Genomic DNA, 21015 nt, shown 5'->3' with positions numbered 1-21015 from the left:
AAAAAAAGAAAAAAAAGAAAAGAGAAAGAAAAAGAAAATCCTTATTTCTCACCAAATACTGTGTGTTCTCACTTGTAAGAGGGAGCTAAACTCTGGGTACTCATGGTTGTAAAGATGGAAATGATAGACACTGGAGCCTCCATAAGTGGGGACAGATGGAGGAGGGTAATGGTTGAGAAACTACTCTCTCTCGGGTACTCTGTTCAATAGTTGGGTGATGAGATCCATAGAAGCCGAAGCATCAGCATCACACAATATACCCACGTAACAAGCCTGCAGGTGCACCCCGTGAATCGAAAATTAAAAAGTCTTATTTCTTGTCTAGCTCTTGGAAGGGTTAGAGATGCTCAGTCTGACTCTGGCAGCAGAGAGAGAAGACGGTGTCTTTTTGGATTTTTCTAGATGCTCTGAAACTACCCCTCCCGGGGACAGGAAGTCGGGACTGATAGTCAGTTAATTCCCACGTTGTTAATCATATACTAAGAGGAAATTCAGGGAAGCAGCAGCACAGCCTAACTTCAATAAAAACAATGAAGGCCAGCCACGGTGCCTCATGCCTGTAATCCCAGCACTTTTGGAGGCCAAGGTGGGTGGATTGCTTGAGCCCAGGAGTTCAAGGGCAGCCTGGGCAACACAGTGGAACCCCATCTCCACAAAAAAGTACAAAACAAATTTAGCTGGGTGTGGTGGCATGTGCCTGTAGTCCCAGCTACTCAGGAGGCTGGGGTGGGAGAATCGCTTGAGCCTGGGAGACGGAGGTTGCAGTGAGCTGAGATTGCGCCAGCGCACTCCACTCTGGGCAACAGAGCGAGACCCTGTTTCAGGAAAAAAAAAAAAAAAAAAAAAAAAAAGAACGATGAAGTAGGGCCAAATGTATGTTTGCCCCAAAAATATACATACACCACTGTCAGTGCAATCATAGGGCTTGCCAGCTCTGGCTCACCCCCTGGGCCACACCCAGACCCCACCTGGGGGATGATGGTGATCTTGAAGCGGAGGTCGTGCAGGCCGATCTTGGCGATGTTGATGCCATCGATGATGATCTCTCCTTCGGCAGACTCGTTGATCCGAAATAAGCCCAGGGTCAGGGACGACTTCCCAGCTCCCGTCCGCCCCACGATGCCGACCTGCAGGACAGAAGGGCCCAGGTGTGGTGGGAATGCTGGCATCCGGACTTGTCCCTGCCCCAAAGTGCCCTCATCTCGGCCCCACCTCAGGCATCAGTCATCTGGTCAACCCAACTCGACAGCCCTCTCCCTTGCGCGCTGCCCAGAGACACTCCTTTAAGGGTGTTTCGGCCGAAGGTCAAGAAGGACTCTCTTCCCTTTGCCAGGCTCCCAAAAGGAATGACTCGGCTTTTTATAAGTTACTAGAGACCTCAAAAGAGATACAGAAGAGGCAGAAGGAATTTCCAACAAAGCCCTATTTGTTTAGACTCAAGAAACTATTAAGTAATAATCAGGCATTTCCTCATTTCCCCACTGTTTTTCACACCTTTGATGGTGAGTTTCCCATCATGAGTTGTTGAAATATCTGAAAGATTCAGGCAGATCTTCCGGCCCTTTGCTATGACCTGGTCTCCATGCATCCTCTCTTGAAGGAACTAGGTTCTCTAGCTAATGGCCAAAGGATGATGTTCCTGACCTCCAGTTCTCCCCTTCCTGCCTGGCTCTTGAGAAGTGGGCTCCTTCTTCCCTCCTACAGGGGTGTCACAGAGCAGCATGCGTGCAAAAATTCTCATGACGTGAGATAAGCCATAAAGACTCAACAAGGGCTGGGGCACGGTGGCTCATGCCTGTAGTCCCAGCACTTTGGGAGGCCGAGGAAGGTGGATCAGAGAAGGTCAGGAGTTCGAGACCAGCCTGGCCAACATGGTAAAACCCCATCTCTACTAAAACTACAAAAATTAGCTGGGCGTGGTGGCATGCACCTGTAGTCCCAGATACTCGGGAGACGGAGGCAGGAGAATCACTTGAACCCAGGGGACGGAGGTTGCAGTGAGCCGAAATAGCACCACTGGACTCCAGCCTGGGTGACAGAGTGAGAGGCTGTCTCAAAACAAAACAAAACAAAACAAAAACAAAAACAAAAACAAAAACAAAAAAAGACAGCAAGAACATCACCCACTCTGCTCTTCTCTGTAACTCAGAGAGAAATTATCTGCTGGGAACAGAATGTTCTGAGCTTTGTGGGAGGTACGTAGGAACAGTTCAATAAGTCCATATGTTCAGAGGTGAAAGCAGCCTTGTCCCCCAGCAAATGGCCAGGAAGACTGTCAGACCAATTCCAGAGGAAAGTCTAAGGGTATCACTCAGGTCAAGGAACCTCTTCCAAGAACAGCTCGGAACCAAGAGAAGGTTCCAAAATTCTGACAATTTCTCACTTCCCTTGAGCCATCCCCCTAGAAGGGATGGTGACACCTTATTCTAGAGATCACAAATTCTAATGTTTTGGAGGGGCCAACTAGGCAATGAATGGGACAGGGAGGGACTGGGGTGAACCAGGAGGCTCACAGGTTGACTAGAAAGAGCCAGGCGGGGGAGGATTGACCTGATGTTGCCAGATGTTCTGATCTTCCAAAAAAAGCAGAAAATAAATTTTTATATTAAGTCTTCCAGATTTTTCAGTATTTGCAACTTATTCAAATTTCTTCCAGGCCAGGTGCAGTGGCTCACACCTGTAATCCCAGCACTTGGGGAGGCTGAGGCGGGTGGATCAGTTGAGGTCAGGAGTTCAAGACCACCCTGGCCAACATGGCAAAACCCCATCTCTACTAATAACACAAAAATTAGCTAGGCATGGTGGCGCATGCCTGTAGTCCCAGCTACTCGGGAGGCTAAGGCAGGAGAATCACTTGAACCCAGGAGGCAGAAGTTGCAGTGAGCTGAGATCGGGCCCCTGCACTCTGGCCTTGGCAACAGAGTAAGACTCCATCTCAAAAAAAAAAAAAAAAAAAAAAAAAAAAACAACCAACCAAAAAACAAAAAAAGAACTTCTTCCAGGGGCCAGGAATGGTGGCTGATTCCTGTAATCCCAGCACTTTGGGAAGCTGAGGCGGGCAGACCGGTTGAGCTCAAGAGTTCCAGATCAGCCTGGACAACATAGTAGGACCCCCATCTCTACAAAAAATACAAAAATTAGCCAGGTGCAGTGGCACACACCTGCACTCCCAACCATGTGTAGTCCCCCCACTTGGGAGGCTGCCGCTGCAGTGGGCTGAGATCACACCACTGCACTCTAGCCTGGGTAACAGAGCAAGACCCTCTCTCAACAACAACAACAAAAAATCTTCCAAAACAAATCTGTGGGGCTCATTTGGTCTTCAGGCTGTCAGTTCACCTAAAAGCCTTCACTTCTGCAAGCTGTATGCGCTCTGAACAGCTTTTACTGCCACAGTCCACTCCCAGCCCCCCAAAAAGCCATTCAAGCAAAGGTGTGGAGCCGTGAGTGACTGGGGAGACGCTGCAGCTAGGTTCACCTGCCCGATGGCACCCTGTGCCCGACTGGGAATGGGTGAGGGAATGGGGCGATGTGTACCCACCTTTTCTCCCCCATTGATCGTGACATTGATGTGCCTGAGAACGAAGTCCAGGTCCTCTCGGTAGCGCAGGCAGTAGTTCCGGAATTCCACTCGGCCCACCTGGGGCCAGCTGCTGGGCGGAGCTGTCTCCTGGATTTGCCAGGGCGCCTTCGATCGCAGTGAAGGGAGAGAGTAAGGAATTTCCAGTCCATCTGGTAAAGCTGTGACTCCCCTGACCTCCCCTCTCACTCACTCTGCTGCCCAAGGTGGCCTCCCAGGCCTCAGCACTGGGGGGTTGCCCTTCCTGGAATGTTATTCCCCAAATGACCCCCTTGCATCCTGTGGATCTCTGGTCGATACAGAGCACCCTCTCAGCCCTGTGTCCCTCTGTCCCCTCCCGCACTGCCTTCTCCTTCAGGGCACTGCCTGTCCCCAGCCCTCTTGGGGCTCGCATGCTTGAGTGTATTCTGTCTCCCACACCCACTGCACCATCCACTCAATGAGGACAGGCTCTAATTGTTCACTGCTGTATCCCAGGGCTCAGAGCACATAGTAGGTGTTCAACACACATTTATGAACATAAACAAGAAGAGTGACACAGCTGCTGATATAGAAAGTGAACTAGTGGTAGAAGGCACAGAAACTGAGAGGACATGATCATCCCTCAGTAGGTCAGAGATACCTTCTGTAAAGCTGTCATCTCTGTGTAACAGATAATGGCTCAATGGACCATAGTTGTTCATTTTTGTCTGCCAGAATTAACGTGACGTTCATGCTCACCATTCTTTTAAAATAATTGTACAACTGATTTGTATAGACATTGTTCTTTTTTTTTTGAGATGGAGTCTCACTCTGTCGCCCAGGCTGGAGTGCAATGGCATGATCTCAGCTCACTGCAACCCCTGCCTCCCAGGTTCAAGCGACTCTCCTGCCTCAGCCTCCTGAGTAGCTGGGATTACAGACACCCGCCACCACACCCAGCTAATTTTTGTATTTTTAGTAGAGATGTGGTTTCACCATGTTGGCCAGGCTGGTCTCTAACTCCTGACCTCATGATCCACCCACCTCTACCTCCCAAAGTGCTGGGATTACAGGCGTGAGCCACCATGCCCGCCACAGACATTGTTCTCAATATGAACATGATAGGTAAACTTTTAAAAAGTTTTTCTGATAAAATATAAATGTTGCCCCCAGATTCTTTTAACGTCAAGGAAATGAATAACAGCTTGTCAGAGACTTCCTACGGAACAAAGAATTTTTTAGGTAACTATCATTAGGCTGGATAAGGTAATAGATGTATTTCAAAAGAGCAAGTGGAGGTATATCTTATCCATATCTTTAGGCTGATGCAAAATTTTACGGTTTAGACAACAGTGTGCCATGTTATGCACAGACTGGCTCTAGGTATTTGAGGAGCGCAATACAGAGAGTTTAAAAAGTGATTTTGTAAAATCTACACTATGGTCTCTGTTTCTCCAAAGTAAATGTGATTTGTTCCTCACACTGCAGTGAGTAAAAAAGAAACAAGAAAACAATAACATAAATATTGAAGTATGTTTCAGTGTTGGGTGAATTTTGTTTTTAGATGCCAATAAAACTTACTTTTTGATAAAAAAAAATTTAAATAAATATTTATAAATGGAGTCAATGAAATGAGTGGTCTTCTCTGGACAGACACGACAATAAAAGTGAGTTACCCTGGCTGCCCACCCCGGCAGGAAGGCAAGGATAAAAGCAGCATCTGTATCGCAGTGTCTCATCCAATCCTCACAGCAACCCCATGTGGGAGGGTCCTTTCATTATCCCCAGTTTACACACAAGGAGACTGAGACACAGAGAGGGGCGGTAACTTGCCCAGGGACACACAACCCTCCTTTTGAAAAGTAGTTCAGTTCAGCATTTCCTGAGGCCCACAGCTGGATATGGCCTGGGCCAGGTTCACTGGTTTTAGCCTCGGGGAATGCACCTCCCCGTCCAGGGCACACACAGGTGCTGAACCAGGCTGCAGAGCACATGGCCAAGCTCAGGGGCACTGCAGACGGCACATAACAAGAAAACGCCGGGCAACTTTTAGGCAAGACATGCAGCCCTTTTGTGGACGTGCTATAAAATCACAGCGTTGCCGGCGCAGTGGCTCACACCTGTAATCCCAGCACTTAGGGAGGCCGAGGTGGGCAGAACACTTGAGGTCAGGAGTTTGAGACCAGCCTGACCAACATGGTGAAACCCTGGCTCTACTAAAAATACAAAAATTAGCTGGGCCTGATGGTGGGAGCCTGTAATCTCAGCTACTTGGGAGGTTGAGACACGACGATCACTAGAATCTGGGAGGCAGAGGTTGCAGTGAGCCAAGATAAAACCACTACACTCCAGTCTGGGTGACACAGCAAGACTCCTCTGTCTCAAAAAAAAAAAAACAAAAAAAAACCCCACCACCACCGCCAACAACAAAAAGTATTATTTTTTATTTTGTAGAGACGATGTCTCACCATGTTGCCCAGGATCGTCTCAAACTCCTGGGCTCAAGTGATCCATCTGCCTTGGCCTCCCAAAGTGCTGGGATTACAGGCGTGAGCCACCGCGCCTGGCCAAAAAATAAATGTTATTATTGAGCGCTTACAATGCAACTAAGGCAAGTTGCTCTGCTCAGCACTTGAGACCCATGATCTCATCTGAGCCTCACAGCAGCCCTTAGAGGCAGTGACTGTTACTATACACAGATGCAAAGGTGCCTCATGGTTAAAGAAAAGGTTTCACAGGATAACAGGTAGATTCCACTTACGTTAAAAGAAAAAGAAACAAGCAAACAAAAGTGTTGGGGTATGTGGGAATCCACACGGGAAAGTTTTGGGGGAAATTCACCCGAATGCTAATGGGGCCTCTCTCTGGAGAGGAGAGGAACGGGGCGAACAGGAACAAACTGTCTTTCTCCACCATAAACTTCTTTGTTTTTTTGTTTTTCGAGACAGAGTCTCACTCTGTCACCCAGGCTGGAGTGCAGTGATGTTTCTTCAGCTCACTGCAACCTCCACCTCCCGGGTTCCAGCGATCCTCCCACCTCAGCCTCCCAAGTAGCTGGAATTATAGGCACCTGCCACCATGCCAACTAATTTTTGTATTTTTAGTAGAGACGGGATTCACCGTTGGCCAGGCTGGTCTCGAACTCCTGGCTTCAAGTGATCCACCCACCTTGGCCTCTCAAAGTGCTGGGATTGCAGGCGTGGGCCACTGTGTCCAGCCCTGTATTGATTTTTTCTTTTTTAAAACAACAAGTGTATCTCTATTTTATAATTTATGTACATAATTGAAGGGGAGATGCTATAACAACACAGTGAGCGGAATGGAGAGAAGTATGTGGAACTTTCTATCTATATATAAAAATACATGCAAATACAGAATAGTGGTAGGACTAATGAGGACAATTACTTTCTCTTGGGTTTGTCAAACACGATCCTTCTAAAAATATAAAAGTCAGTCAAAAGTAAAATGCTTTTAAAAACTGAACTCAGGCCGGGTGTGGTGGCTCACACCTGTGATCCCAGCACTTTGGGAGGCTGAGGCGGGTGGATCACGAGGTCAGGAGTTCGAGACCAGCCGGGCCAACATGGTGAAATCCCTTCTCTACTAAAAATACAAAAATCGCCTGTAATCCCAGCTACTCAGGAGGCTGGGAATCGCTTGAACCCAGGAGAAGGAGGTTGCAGTGAGCTGAGATCATGCCACTGCACTCCAGGCTGGAGCGAGACTTAAGTCTCAAACAAACAAAAAAAAAACTGAATTCAATCTAACTGAACGCTTTAACTGGGTGAATTCCATGGCATGTGAAATTCACATGTCAATGAGGCTATTATAAAAACTAATGAAATAAGTTAGCTGGGCGGGGTGGTGGGTACTTGTAATCCCAGCTAATTGGGAGGCTGAGGCAGGAGAATCACTTGAACCCAGGAGGTGGAGGTTGCAGTGAGCTGAGATCGTGCCACTGCATTCCAGCCTGGGCAAAAAAAAAGCCAAATTCCATCTAAAAAAAAAAAAAAAAAAAACCTAATGAAATACCTTGTAAGTGAATTAAATTCAGTGTCAAGTTGGAAGCCGCCGGTGTAATACACCCTTGGTTCCTCACGGGGGCACTCACGCCATTCTTACAATGCTCACCCGTGACATGGGACCTGGTTCACCCAGTCAGAATGTTAAAGGAGTGGGCCGAGGTCACCTCTGTGAATTCCTCAGGAGGACAGACCTTACAGAGGCCTTGGTCTCACTCCCAAGGGGCATCTCTCCTCAGGAGGCCGGGTAGCATGACTCCCATGGCACTGGATAGGGTCTCTGAGGAGGCACAGGCTCAACGCCTAGGTCTGCCATTTACCAGCCATGTGATCTTGGGCAAGTAACTTCAGCTTTTTGTCTCAGTTTCCTCACCTGTAAAATGGGGGTAATAGTAGCATCTAAATTATAGGGCTGGGCTGGGCATGGTGGCTCCCGCTTGTAATCCCAGCACTTTGGGAGGCCAAGGCAGGCAGATCACTAGAGCTCAGGAGATCAAGATGAGTCTGGGCAAAATCCCGTCTCTACTAAAAATACAAAAATCAGTCCGGTGTGATGGCATATGCCCGTGGTCCCAGACACTCAGGAGGCAGAGGTAGGAGAATCACTTGAGCCTGGGAGGCAGCGAATGAGATCGCACTACACTCCAACCCGGGCAAGAGTGAGACCGTGTCTCAAAAATCAGTCATAGAGCGGGGTAAAGACTGAGTGCATTACTCTATATTAAACGTTTAAGTCTGGGCCTGACATTCTACAAGGCACTATGTGTGTCCCTGTTATCATTAATGTAGGGTGGGGGTGTCGCCAGGCATTATTGTGATTATCTATTATCACTGCTGTTCCTACTTGTGCTGCTGTTCAGGGCCTAAGAAGGCAGTTATTAAGGGCAACGCAACATCAAAGACTGGAGGCACGGGTCCTAGTCCCAGCTGTTCTACCAAGCCACGTGGGACCTTGGATCAGCTGTTGTCCCTCCCCAGGTTCCCTTTTTCTCCATCTATAAAAAGGGGACTGGGGTTCAATAACGGCAGGGTTTCCCAAACTTTGGTCAGTTCCCAGCTACATCATTCGTGTAGTATGCATGTACTCATTCTCTTGTTGTTTTAATATGCTTAATCAAGTCACTTAGACTTAATTTCTCAACTTACTTAAGAGGAAAATTTATTACAATCACAAAAGGAAAAGTAGTATTATTTTCCGTAACAGGAGTCCCCTATACAAATACATAACAGGCCAGGCGCAGTGGCTCACGCCTGTAATCCCAGCACTTTGGGAGGCTGAGGCAGGCGGATCACCTGAGGTCAAGAGTTTGAGACCAGACTGGCCAACTTAGTGAAACCCCCATCTCTACTAAAAATACAAAAATTAGCCAGGCATGATGACAGGCACCTGTAATCCCAACTATTTGGGAGGCTGAGGCAGGAGAATTACTTGAACCTGGGAGGAGGAGGTTGCAGTGAGCCGAGATTGTGCCACTGCACTCCAGCCTGGGTGACAGTGAGACTCCATCACACACACAAAAAAACCAAATTCATAACAAATAACAGAAGGTTATTTCTGATAGACAGAATCCGTCCTGTTGAAGACTCCAAGTGTGAGGGCTGCTGTTTATCTGTCTGTTGAAGGGAGATCATCTCAATTGCTAAGGTGTTAAAGACCTGCTAGCCCCAGACTAAGACTTTCTCTGTGATACCATCAGAAGTTATGAAAGAGAAATAGAGGGGGAAACTTCTTCACAATGTGAATACCTTCTGAATGCCCTGACAGCATCCCACAGTCTCGTATATGGATACCCCAGATCTTGGGTAAAGCCGGTAAACTATTTTCACCCTAAAACCGGGCTCTAAATAAGTGCTGCAAAAAGACTGGACAAGCGTTAAGATGCACTTCTACCTGGTGAGGTATCCAGCTCAGAGGCAGAGGTGCACAGGATAGGGTCCAGAGATCTCCTTGGGGTAAAGCTACACCAAAGACCAAGAGGTCCAGCCAGGGGCCCTTGCCTACCTCCTTCTCAGTCTCTGAATACTCCTTGAGCCTCTCCACGGCCACGATGTTGGTTTCCATTTCAGATGACATCCGAACCAGCCAGTTCAAGTACGTGGTGACCTGTGAGTGGAAGAGTCACGTGGCATTTCTAGAGTAAGCGGGCGTACTTGACTTTCCTTTTTCTTTTTTTCCACTGAGATAATAGGAAACAAATTATTTTCAACAAGTATGAATTATGGGAGGCTGAGGCGGTCAGATCACCTGAGGTCAGGGGTTTGAGACCAGCCTGGCCGATGTGGCGAAACCCCATCAGTCACTACTAAAAATATAAAAATTAGCCAGGCATGGTGACGCACACCTGTAAACCCAGCTATTTGGGAGGCTGAGGCAGAAGAATCACTTGAACCCAGGAGGCAGAGGTTGCAGTGAGCCGAGATCCCACCACTGCATTCCAGCCTGGGTGACAGAGTGAGATTCCGTCTCCAAAAAAAATAAATAAATAAAAATAAAAGGTTATGAGTTATGAAACATTCAGGTAAGAAAGGTACCGAAATTAGCAACCCCAGGTATAGCCATCACCCAGGCCTGCCACATTGCCATCTCCTAAGCACACACATTTCCAAAATAACTCATGGGCCACATAATAAGAAACTGGAAAATATTTTTAGCCAGGTGACAATATGAAAACACAATGTATCATCATTTGTGAGATGCAGCTAAAGCAGTTCTTAGAGGGAAATTCATAGCTTTAAAAGCATTCCCCTCGTACCTGGAAGTATCCTCTTGGGCCACTAAGGAATCTGTGTGACTGATGGGGAAAATCCTGGCCACATGTCAAATCCGTCTCCTGCTCTAGTTGGTCACCAGGCACTGTGGCACTGTACCTGCTCCTCAAACTCCGTACCTCTCAAGTTCCTCTCCCCCATTCCTGTTGGAGCTGGAATCCAAAGCCAAGGACAACTGGCTCCCCCATTAACAGACTTTAATAATCCAGCCAAGAGCATCCCCTCTTACCTGCAATGAGTAAGACACTGAGAGGCCCACCAAGCCAGCACTGAGGCTGTGCCTGGAGATCACCGCAAACAGGGCAGCAAACAGAACGATGCAGTTGCCCACACACTCCAGCCGCACGGCCAGCCACCTGCGCCAAGACACACAGGCAGACAAACAGGCATGGAGTCAGCTCTACAGAGACTTGGCTTACAGCTCTTGGGGGAGGAAGGGGATTCTTTGCTAACTCAAGTAACTCCGCAGTAATTCCAGAGAGAGTCCTTCCTGGCACTGCTTTTTCAAAACATGCACAATGGGCGCAGGGTAGGGAGGGCCGAAGGCACGAGGCCAGTAAATCCTCATTAATCTGGCAAACCCATGGATTAAAACAGAGCTCTCCAGAGGCAATCTTCCCTGGAATCTGAAGCTTGCCTTTTTAAGAACCAACTTTTTTCTCATTGAAGCCTTTAAAATACATACACATAGGCCGGGCGTAGTGGGTCACTCCTATAATCACACACACACACATACACACACACACACACACACACACACACACACAGCCGGGCGTAGTGGGTCACTCCTATAATCACACACACACACACACACACACACACACACACAGTGCATTAACAACAACAAAAAGATGTCCTGGAAATTCCTAAATACTAAGAAGACATCAACTGTAAGAGACACTAGGGATTTAAAATAACCATCGTTTCTCGGCCTTTTGGCTAAAAACAAGTAGAAAATAACAGTCTCTTGTTACGAGACAGATCTGGGAGGGGAGTGCGTAACTAGTACGAGTAAACATCATTGTAACGTTCCCAAGCCCAGACTCTTCATTTCAAAGTGTTAAAATATACTATTTTACCCTTTAAAATAGAAACAGAAATCATGTTTTCTGTCATTTTGTTTTTTTGAGATGGGGTCTTACTCTGCCATCCAGGCTGGAGTGTGGATGACATGATCACAGCTCACTGCCGCCTCAACCTTCCAAGTTCCAGTGATCCTCCTGCCTCAGCCTGAGTAGCTGCGACTACAGGCCCATGCCACCACACCTGGCAAATTTTTGGTTTTTTGTTTTGTTTTTAGAGACAGGGTCTCCCTAGAGTGCCCAGGCTGGTCTCGAACTGCTGGGCTCAAGTGACCCGCCTGCCTTGGCCACCCAAAGTGCTGAGATTACAGGTGTCAACCAATGTGCCTGGTCATCTTATTTGTTTAAAGCTAGGTTTAGTATGGTATCATGTACCATCAGAACTATTTTATTTTACTTTTTATTTTATTCTTCTCTTCTCTTCTATTATTTCTTCAGATAGAGTTTCGCTCTCGTTGCCCAGGCTGGAGTGCAATGGTGCGGTCTTGGCTCACTGCAACCTCTGCCTCTTGGGTTCAAGTGATTCTCCTGCCTCAGCCTCCCAAGTACAGGCACCCACCATCATGCCCGGCTAATTTTTTTGTATTTTTAATATAGATGGGATTTTGCCATGTTGACCAGGCTGGTCTTGAACTCCTGACCTCAGGTGATCCACCCACTTTGGCATCCCAAAGTGCTGGGATTACAGATGTGAGCCACCGCGCCTGGCCATCTTATTTGTTTAAAGCTAGGCTTCGTATGATATCATATAGCACTAGAACTATTATTTTAATGTTCTAAAATATAAAGCATTCTAGGAAGATGGGGTGTTGATCTTTTCTCCATTGCAGCCCTTATGAACCAAGTGACTGATCCTCACTACTCCGACAGACACAGCCAGATTGTGACAAACTCCCTAAAAATTCTGAAGGGAAGTCAAGGTCTGTAATCATTCAGGGTTAGCCCACCCAGACTTACGCTATGGGATTAGAGTGTGTAAGACGGGCTAATGGTTATGGGACACCTCTGGGGTGCTGTCACTTTTTCAGAAAAGTCTATAAGGATGCAAATGGGTGAGAGGGACACTTCTCTAAATTCAGCAAATAATTAGCAAACTTCTGCCTCTTTTGGATTGATGCTATTATCTGTGATCCACAAGATGTCAATCTCCCACCCCCATCTCCTTTTTTTGTTTTTCCAGAGACAGGGTCTCACTCTGTCACCCAGGCTGGAGTGCAGTGGTGTAATCATAGCTCAATGCAACTTTGAACTCCTGGGCTGAAACGATCCTCCAGCCTCAGCCTCTCGAGAAGCTAGGACTACAGGCACACACCACCATGATGGGCTACTTTTTTTTTTTTTTTTTTTTTTTAAGAGAGATGGGGGTCTTGCTATGTTGCCCAGGCTGGCCTGGAATCTAATGGATCCTCCTGCCTCAGCCTCCCAAAGTACTGGGATTACAGGCGTGAGCCATGACATCTGGCCCACAAGATGACAATCTCATATGGTTTAGCTTAGTATTAGTAAATTGCTTCTGACACACATCACCCAGGGGTGCATGATCACCCCCAGACGGGAACAGCGGTATGAAGATACTCAATAGCAGAGTCGGTCGCTGGCAGTCTTGCATCACTAGGATGACAGTTAACGGGAAGCACTTGCAGGGCTTTCTGACTCCAGAAGAGCTGTGTCCCTGCACTTAAATGCCGCGGGCACTGCATGTCTACAGTGCCGCTGTCTGCTCTTAATGATTCATCTGTCCTCCGCGCTCATCAAGCCTCTCCATCCTTTCTGCAAGGCCGGGGTTTGGCTTTATACCCAGCTCAAGGTGCGAGGAAAAGATCGAGGCAAAGAGACAAGGTGCTAAGGCGGCCTCCTCCACCCGCTCCTGCAGGCCCACCATGCCCACCTGTTGGCCACGATGCTGGGGTAATAGGCCTTCTGGTTCTCGTCCACCTTCAGGTCACTCTGGTGGATGAAGCGCTCCTGCTCCTCGAAGGCTCGAATGACGCTGACCCCCAGCAAGGTCTCGTTGAAATGGGAATAGACCGGGGAGCGGCTGACCGACTCGAGGCGCTTCAGCTGCCGGGAGGAAGCCACGTAGAACCTCTGGGGTAGAGAACAGACGCGGGGAGTTGATGAAGGTTCCCTCCTGCCATCCTCCCAGGGCAGGGCTGTGCTGGAGAACATCTAGACGTAACCGATACCTCCAGGAGGCAAAATGTTAGAGCCGGGCTGCCCTCACAGGGGTGCCCACTCACCTGGTGAACCACAGGAATAGCACCACCAATGACAAGGACAGTGACAATAATAGCTCACGCTTATACAAAGCCCACAGCCCCAGGCATCGTTCTAAGCAGTTTTACAAACATCAGTTCATTCAATCCTCACAAAAAACCTGAGGTGCTCATTCCTATATGTGATGGGTAGACTAAGGCACAAAGAAGCTAGTTAATCTCCTCCCCAAGGTCACATGGCTAGCAAGGGGCAGAACTGGGATTCAAACCCAGGCCATCTGGGCTGCAAAGTGCTAACCTCTACCCTGTACTGCCTCTCTGAAGCCTTTCACCTCTAGGGTTTTCTGGAACCAGCAGTGTGGTTTTCAGCATAGGCTTTGAGGTCAACGAGACCTCAGTTCAAATCCTGACTCAACTACTGACTGGCAATATAAACACGACTAACACTTTACTTCTCTAAGCCTCAGTTTCCTTATCTGTAAAATGGGAACAACAAGGCTTGCTCGGCCAGGTGGGGTGGCTCATGCTTGTAATACCCGCACTTCAGGAGGCAGAGGCGGGAGATCACTTGAGGCCAGGAGTCTGAGACCAGCCCAGGCACATGGCAAAATGCCATCTCTACAAAAATAAAATATTATTAAGAAAACAAACGAAACAAAACAAAGCTTGCTTCACGGGGTCATTGTGAGGGTGACATGTAAGAGTTACAGTCTTACATGTGATGTGTATTTGCGTGGACACATTATTTCATAAATCATATAGATATGCATGATGTCACTAAGCACAGTGCCTGGTAATACTAGGTTGAACCACAGGAAATAGCTGTTTCTGTAGATAAGAAATAAGTATTAGCAGTTTCATATAGTTTGACCTAACAGTAAGCATTCAGTTAGCTGGTGACTATTGTTATCATTAAGTGACAGAATTCCGCCTGTTGATCACATCCCCTCAGGAGTGACTGTGTCCATGCAATGGCCGGTTCCAGCACACTCAGCCCAGCTGAGATGCCCATGAGGATAGGGTCAATCTCGTCACCCCCCTCCGATGGCCTCCCAGCGCTGTTAGAGTTGCCAACCATGCTTCTTCCCTCAACTCATCTCATCCTGTAACTCTCCCCTTCCTTCCCTGCACACAGGCCGCCTGCCTCCACCCACCATGCCCATCCCGTCCAGGCCATTCCTCATCACCCAGCAGATGGGAGCACAGATGTCACTTCCTCGGGAAGCCCTTCCCATCCTCCATGAGCACCTTCTCCGGGCTTCAGTGTCCCAGCTCCCGGGCTACGATGATACGTTTCACAAGCAGCTCCACCCACCCTCGCGGGCAGATGCTTCATCTGCTCTGCCTCCCCCAACCTGGGCATTCAGCCAGTGCCAGGCACCAAGAGCCTCCCGATAAGTCTTGTTAGATTCAGAACAAAAGCCAACCACCTTCTGCAAGCTTTGTGGAGCTGTGGATCAGAGGCTGCACCAGCCATGTGAGGACACTGCGCTCTCCTAGCCTAGGTTTTTCTCATCTACGCAAAAGGAACTGGTGAGCCCGGGGTTCCTGATTCCACAAGGTGCCTACAATTGCTTATCGACAGGAGAGCTGGGAAAACTAACAAAGGGTTGCTAGGAACTCGGCCTCCCTGCATCCTGCCCTGGGCCAGGTGTACTGGGCTGCTTTGGGGCAGAGTCCAACAAAAAGCATCAATAGCAGCAGGTGGCTTTTACAAGGCCTCTGTGGTTGGCAGCTTCTTCCTGGGTGGCGGCACGGGCGTTAATTGCAACCCACAGATGGAGAGTCTTCTGGGGCCCCAGAAGCTATGTAAGTGAACCCAGGTACCGCACAACCCCACGCAGTCTCAGAATAGCTGTTCTGCCAATTCCTGGAATGTGGATCAGATATAATTTCTTCTCCAGCTGTTCCCACCGCCTCCCATGAAATCCAGACCCCTCTGCATGGCTGAAGGCCCAGGTGATCTGCCCCATCTTACCCTGGACCACATCTCCTTCCTCTCTTACCAGCTTGCTTTCTGAACAATCCAGATGCAAATCGCTCTCAAGTGTGTTACCTGTTCACTTTCCTCCACTTGCCACTGCCTCTGAACCTTACTTACTGGAAAAATCTAACCTGAGATGAATATTTGTTCAGGAATGATCTTATTTTATTTTTTAAGACAGTCTCGCTCTGTCACCCTGGCTGGAGTGCAGTGGCACAATCTTGGCTCATTGCAACCTCTGCCTCCCAGGTTCAAGCAATTCTCCTGCCTTAGCCTCCTAAGTAGCTGGAATTGCAGGCGCCCACCACCGTGCCTGGCTAATTTTTCTATTTTTAGTAGAGATGGGGTTTCACCATGTTGGCCAGGCTGGTCTCAAACTCCTGACCTCAGGTGATCCACCTGCCCTGCCGATCTGATGTTTTTTTCAGACAACTCGCCCTGTCACCAAGGCTGAAGTGCACTGGCACAATGTCAGCTCACTGCAACCTCCGCCTCCGAGGCTCAAGTGACCCTTCCATCTCAGCCTCCCAAGCAGGTGGGACTACAGGTTCACGCCACCACACCCAGCTAATTTTTGTATTTTCTGTAGAGACCAGGTTTTCCCATGTTGCTCAGGCTGGTCTCGAACTCCTGGGCCCAAGCAATCCTCCTGTCTAGGCCTCCCAAAGGGCTGGGATTAAAGGCATGAGCCACTGCACCCGACCGAACTTCATATAAATGAAATCTCACAGTACCTACTCTTTTTCGTCTGGCTTCTTTTGATCACTATAACATCTCTGAGATAAACCCAAATTGTTGTGTATTAGCATTTCATTCCTTTTTACTACTCAACCATAAATTGTATAATTATATCACAATTTATTTCTCCACGGTCCTGTTAATGGACATTTGAGCTGTTTCCAGTTTGGGCGATTATGAATCAAGATGCTGAGAACATTCTAAGCACTGCCTTTGCTCTTTTTTTTTTTTTTTTTTTTTTAATATACACTTAGGAATGAGACTGCCTAGTGAGAGGATAAATGTAAATTTAGCCAAAAGCCATTAAAAAATTAACTATTCTATAATCTCAACCCTTAAAAAGACGATGTTTTCATGTATCTGCCTCCCTTCCAGTCCTGCCCACACACATTATGCATTTCATCTCGGTGATAACGACAGTGCACCTAGAACTTGGTCCTTTGCTAAAATCATTTCCTTTGTTGTTGAAAAATAAAAATCCTTGGTGCTCCAACAGCTGCGTCTTCTAATTATCCCTGCTCAAAGCCACATTGCTCCACGGTGTACCCAAGGTCCTGCTATTGGCAGACATTTAAGTTGCCTTCAACACTGCATTTGGCCTGTTTTGTTCTTTTTGGGTCTTTCAGGAAATTTTCCAGCTTGCGTATGAACACAGATAACATATTTGGTAAATGCAGGGGAAAAAAAAAAAAAAAAAAAAGCTGGCACCAATTTCAAGAGGATATAACGAGACTCCAGGAACTGGACCTACTCTCTCTGATTCCATCACTGTTCGTTCTCATCAATCATTGGGCCACAGTGTGGTGGGGCGCAGGGGCCACATGATTGAACCAAGGCCCCCTGGATGCCACCTGAACAGCTGTGCAGCGTGGTTTGAGATATGGTGAGCCTCATGGTTTCTTACTCTTGTTTTGCTTTGCAGCTGGAATGCTCCCATCTAAACAACCCATCCCTACTGGCAATTGTGCTGCGGTTAATCCTTTAGCGGTAACAGCAGTTTTGGAATTGGACAGACTTGAGGTTGCACTCTCAGCTCTCCCACTTAGCAAGATGCTCCACCTGTCAATTGAAAACATTATCTATCCTGCGATATCCTAAGAAACCACATGTGTTCAAAGAACAAAGAACATATAACCGTTTCTGCAGAAGGGATGCAGCAGAGACGACTGACTGCCTACACAATTTCTCCTTTCCCAACAGAAACTTCTCTGTTTTTTTTTAGACAGAGTATCACTCTGTTGCCCAGGCTGGATTGCAGTGATGCAATCTTGGCTCACTGCAACCTCCACCTCCCAGGTTCAAGCAATTCTCCTGTCTCAGCCTTCAGAGCAGCTGGGACTATAGGCACATGCCACCACACCTGGCTAATTTTTGTATTTTTAGTAGAGGTGGGGTTTCACCATATTGGTCAGGCTGCTCTCGAACTCCTGACTTCAGGTGATACACGCGCCTCGGCCTCCCAAAGGGGTAGGGTTACAGGCGTGAGCCACCGTGCCTAGGCCCAACTGAAAGTTTTTGCTGGGAAGTGCAATGTGCCCAGCTAAAACACGGCACTTTCCAGGGTCCCTTGTGAATAGAGGTGGTCCCATGACTAAGTTCTGGACAATTAGATGTACAGGTGTCCCTCTAATCCAAGGTTGCACTTTCCGTGGTTATATGGTTTGGCTGTGTCCCCACCCAAATTTCATCTTGAATTGTAGTTCCCTTAATCCCCATGTGTCATGGGAGGGACCAGGTGGAGATAACTGAATCGTGGGGGCAGTTTCCCCCAACCCTCATGATAGTGAGTTAGTTCTCACAAGATCTGATGGTTTTATAAGGGGGCTCCCCGACTTCGTGGTGCTCTCATTCTTCTTCCTACTGCCATGTGAAGAAGGACATGTTTGCTTCTCCTTCTGCCATGGCCTCCTCAGCCATGCGGAACTGTGAGTCAATTAAACCTCTTTCCTTAATAAATTACCCAGTATTGGGTATTTCTTCATAGCAGTATGAGGACAAACTAACACACATGGTTTCGGTTATCCATGGTCAACTGTGGTCCAAAAATAATGTGTAAGTTTTAAATTGTGCACCCTTCTGAGTAGTGTGATGAAATCCCCCCCAGTCCCATCCGCGGTGTGAATCATCCCTTTGTCCAGCAGGTCCATGCTGCAGACCCTCCCTGTCAGTTTAGTCACTTAATAGCCATATCGGTTATCAGACTGACGGCCATTGTACTGCAGTGCTTATGGGTAAGTAATCCGAATTTACTCAATAATGCCCCTGGCTGGGCTCAGTGGGTCAATGCCTGTAATCCCAGCACTTTGGCAGGCTGAGGCGGGCGGATCACTTGACGTCAGGAGTTTGAGACTAGCCTGGCCAACATGGTGAAACCTCGTCTCTACTAAAAATACAAAAACTAGCTGGGTGTGGCGCATGCCTGTAATCCCAGCTACTTGGGAGGCTGAGGCAAGAGAATCACTTGAACCCGGGAGGCAGATGTTGCAGTGAGCCGAGATTCCATCACTGCACTCCAGCCTGAAGGACACAGCTAAACTCTGTCTCAAAAAAAAAAGTAATAAAAATAACGCCTCTAATGTGGAGAAGTAGTGATACTGGCATATTGTTATAATTGTTCTATTTTATTATTATAAATTACTGCTATTAATCTATTATGCCAAATTTATAAATTAAACTTTATCATAGGTATGTATGTACAGAAAAAAACAGGATATGTAGGATTCAATACTATCTGCAGTTTAAGGCATCCATTGGGGGAGTCTTAGAATGTGTGCCTGCAGATAAGGGAGTAGTGCTGATTCAGCACCCATATGCTCCCTTGCCCTACTTCCCTTCCTTGATCTCACTGACTGAAATATAGATATAATGGCTGGAGCTCCAGCAGCCACCTTGGACCATGAGGCCAACTTAAGAATGAAAGGGGCCGGGCGCAGTGGCTCACGCCTGTAATCCCAGCACTTTGGGAGGCTGAGGCAGGCGAATCACGAGGTCAGGAGATTGAGACCATCCTGGCTAACATGGTGAAACCTTGTCTCTACTGAAAATACAAAAAAAATTAGCTGGGCGTAGTGGCGGGCGCCTGTAGTCCCAGCTACTCGGGAGGCTGAGGCAGGAGAATGGTGTGAACCCGAGAGGTGGAGCTTGCAGTGAGCCGAGATCGCGCCACTGCACTCCAGCCTGGGCGACAGAGCGAGACTCCATGTCAAATTAAAAAAAAAAAAGAAAGAAAGAAAGAATGAAAGGCTTGTATAAATATGGTAAGATTTTTTAAATTTTTAAATAAAAGCAGGTATCTGGGATATTAAACTCATGAAGCTGCCATACCAGCCCTGAACAGCCTACCTCTAAATTTCTATTATGACAGAGAAAAAGAAAACGTCTATCTTATTTAGGCTGCTATTAGTCATGTTTTTTGTTTAGTTCCTGCCTCCTGCAGGAGGCTTAAGAACTAAAGAATTTTATACTTGAAGAAATTTTAGGCTGGACGCAGTGGCTCACATCTGTAATCCCAACACTTGGGGAGGTCGAGGTGGGTGGATCACCTGAGCTCAGGAGTTTGAGACCAGCCTGGCCAACACTGGTGAAACCCTGTCTCTACTAAAAATACAAAAATTAGCCGGCCGTGGTGGTGCGCACCTGTTAACTCAGGAGGCTGAGGCAGGGGAATCACTTGAACTGGGAGGTGGAGGTTGCAGTAAGCCAAGATTGTGCCACTGCACTCCAGCCTGGGTGACAGAGCGAGACTCTGTCTCAAGAAAAAAAAAGAAATTTTAATAATGAAGTTGTCTTTATAGTGATAGGTTTTGTTTCCTTTTTGAATTGACAGGTGGAAAAGTAAAACTTAGGAAAAAACTGCATTCCACAAAAAAAGTGCATTTTGTTATTGTGAGCAAAAAAACAATTTAGGTATTCGAAACTGACAAAAACAAATCTACATGCTTCAAAAGCACCACACTGGGGACATGGTAAGATAAAACAAGGCTTTAGGTAACACTGGTATATAATGCACAGTAGGGCTTGTCCCGAACACTAAGACCTCACCCCTTACCTGGACGAAGAAGTAGATGAGGCCAAGGGGCGGGATGATGATGGCGGCGATGGGCGTGGCCAGCAGGATAACGATGCAGGCACCAATGACGTTGAACAGGGAGCCCATGAACATCTTGATGACCTCCGGGATCATGGAGTCCACTGTGTCCAGCTCCTTGGAGAAGCGGTTCACCAGGTTCCCACTGGGGGTCCGCTCAAAGAAGCTCATGGGTGACCGCAGGATGCTGTGCAGCAGGTCCACGTGCAGACAGCGGGAAGCCAAGATCCCCCCGATGGACACGGCCATGGAGTAGCCAAACACGGCGATCCCTGCAGACACTCGGAGTTAAAACTCCACAATGCAGAGAGGGAGCTGACCAGGCACTGCAGGGAGGAGTGGCCATGTGGACGAGGCAGGCCTGGACTCCCAACTTCTAATAATAATAATAATGATGAACCAGGCATGGTGGCTCACACCTGTAATCCCAGCACTTTGGGAGGCCGAGGTGGGTGGATCACTTGAGGTCAGGAGATCGAGACCAGCCTGGCCAACACAGTGAAACTCCGTCTCTCCTAAAAATACAAAAATTAGCCAGGCGTGGTGGTTGGCGCCTGTAATCCCAGCTACTCGGGA

General features: G+C 47.7%; 1 protein-coding gene across 27 annotated transcripts in view, besides 1 other annotated feature; it reads right to left on the bottom strand.

The window, feature by feature from the left end:
• The window catches only part of ABCC1 (ATP binding cassette subfamily C member 1 (ABCC1 blood group)), a 193911-nt gene that overhangs the window by 7577 nt on the left and 165319 nt on the right, over positions 1 to 21015 (bottom strand). For all 27 annotated transcript variants that reach the window (XM_047434134.1, NM_004996.4, NM_001438755.1 and 24 more), the window contains 6 exons: positions 20401 to 20711; positions 13303 to 13502; positions 10562 to 10688; positions 9566 to 9667; positions 3542 to 3688; positions 969 to 1127 (listed from right to left, as the gene is read on the bottom strand). In XM_047434134.1, the coding sequence (XP_047290090.1) occupies positions 969 to 1127; positions 3542 to 3688; positions 9566 to 9667; positions 10562 to 10688; positions 13303 to 13502; positions 20401 to 20711 (1046 nt within the window). The remainder of the gene's footprint in view (positions 1 to 968; positions 1128 to 3541; positions 3689 to 9565; positions 9668 to 10561; positions 10689 to 13302; positions 13503 to 20400; positions 20712 to 21015) is intronic.
• Positions 3100 to 3599: an enhancer, noted in NCBI's record as "H3K4me1 hESC enhancer chr16:16225735-16226234 (GRCh37/hg19 assembly coordinates)". NCBI's record gives its function as "activates a minimal SCP1, AML or CMV promoter by ChIP-STARR-seq in primed H9 embryonic stem cells {active_cell/tissue: H9 hESC(primed)}" and the evidence as "EXISTENCE:reporter gene assay evidence [ECO:0000049][PMID:30033119]".

The sequence above is a fragment of the Homo sapiens genome, chromosome 16 (assembly GCF_000001405.40).
Source record: "Homo sapiens chromosome 16, GRCh38.p14 Primary Assembly".
NCBI classification, from domain to species: domain Eukaryota; kingdom Metazoa; phylum Chordata; class Mammalia; order Primates; family Hominidae; genus Homo; species Homo sapiens.
Note: the sequence above shows the minus strand (reverse complement) of the source record. Positions and strands in the feature narration are given on the sequence as shown.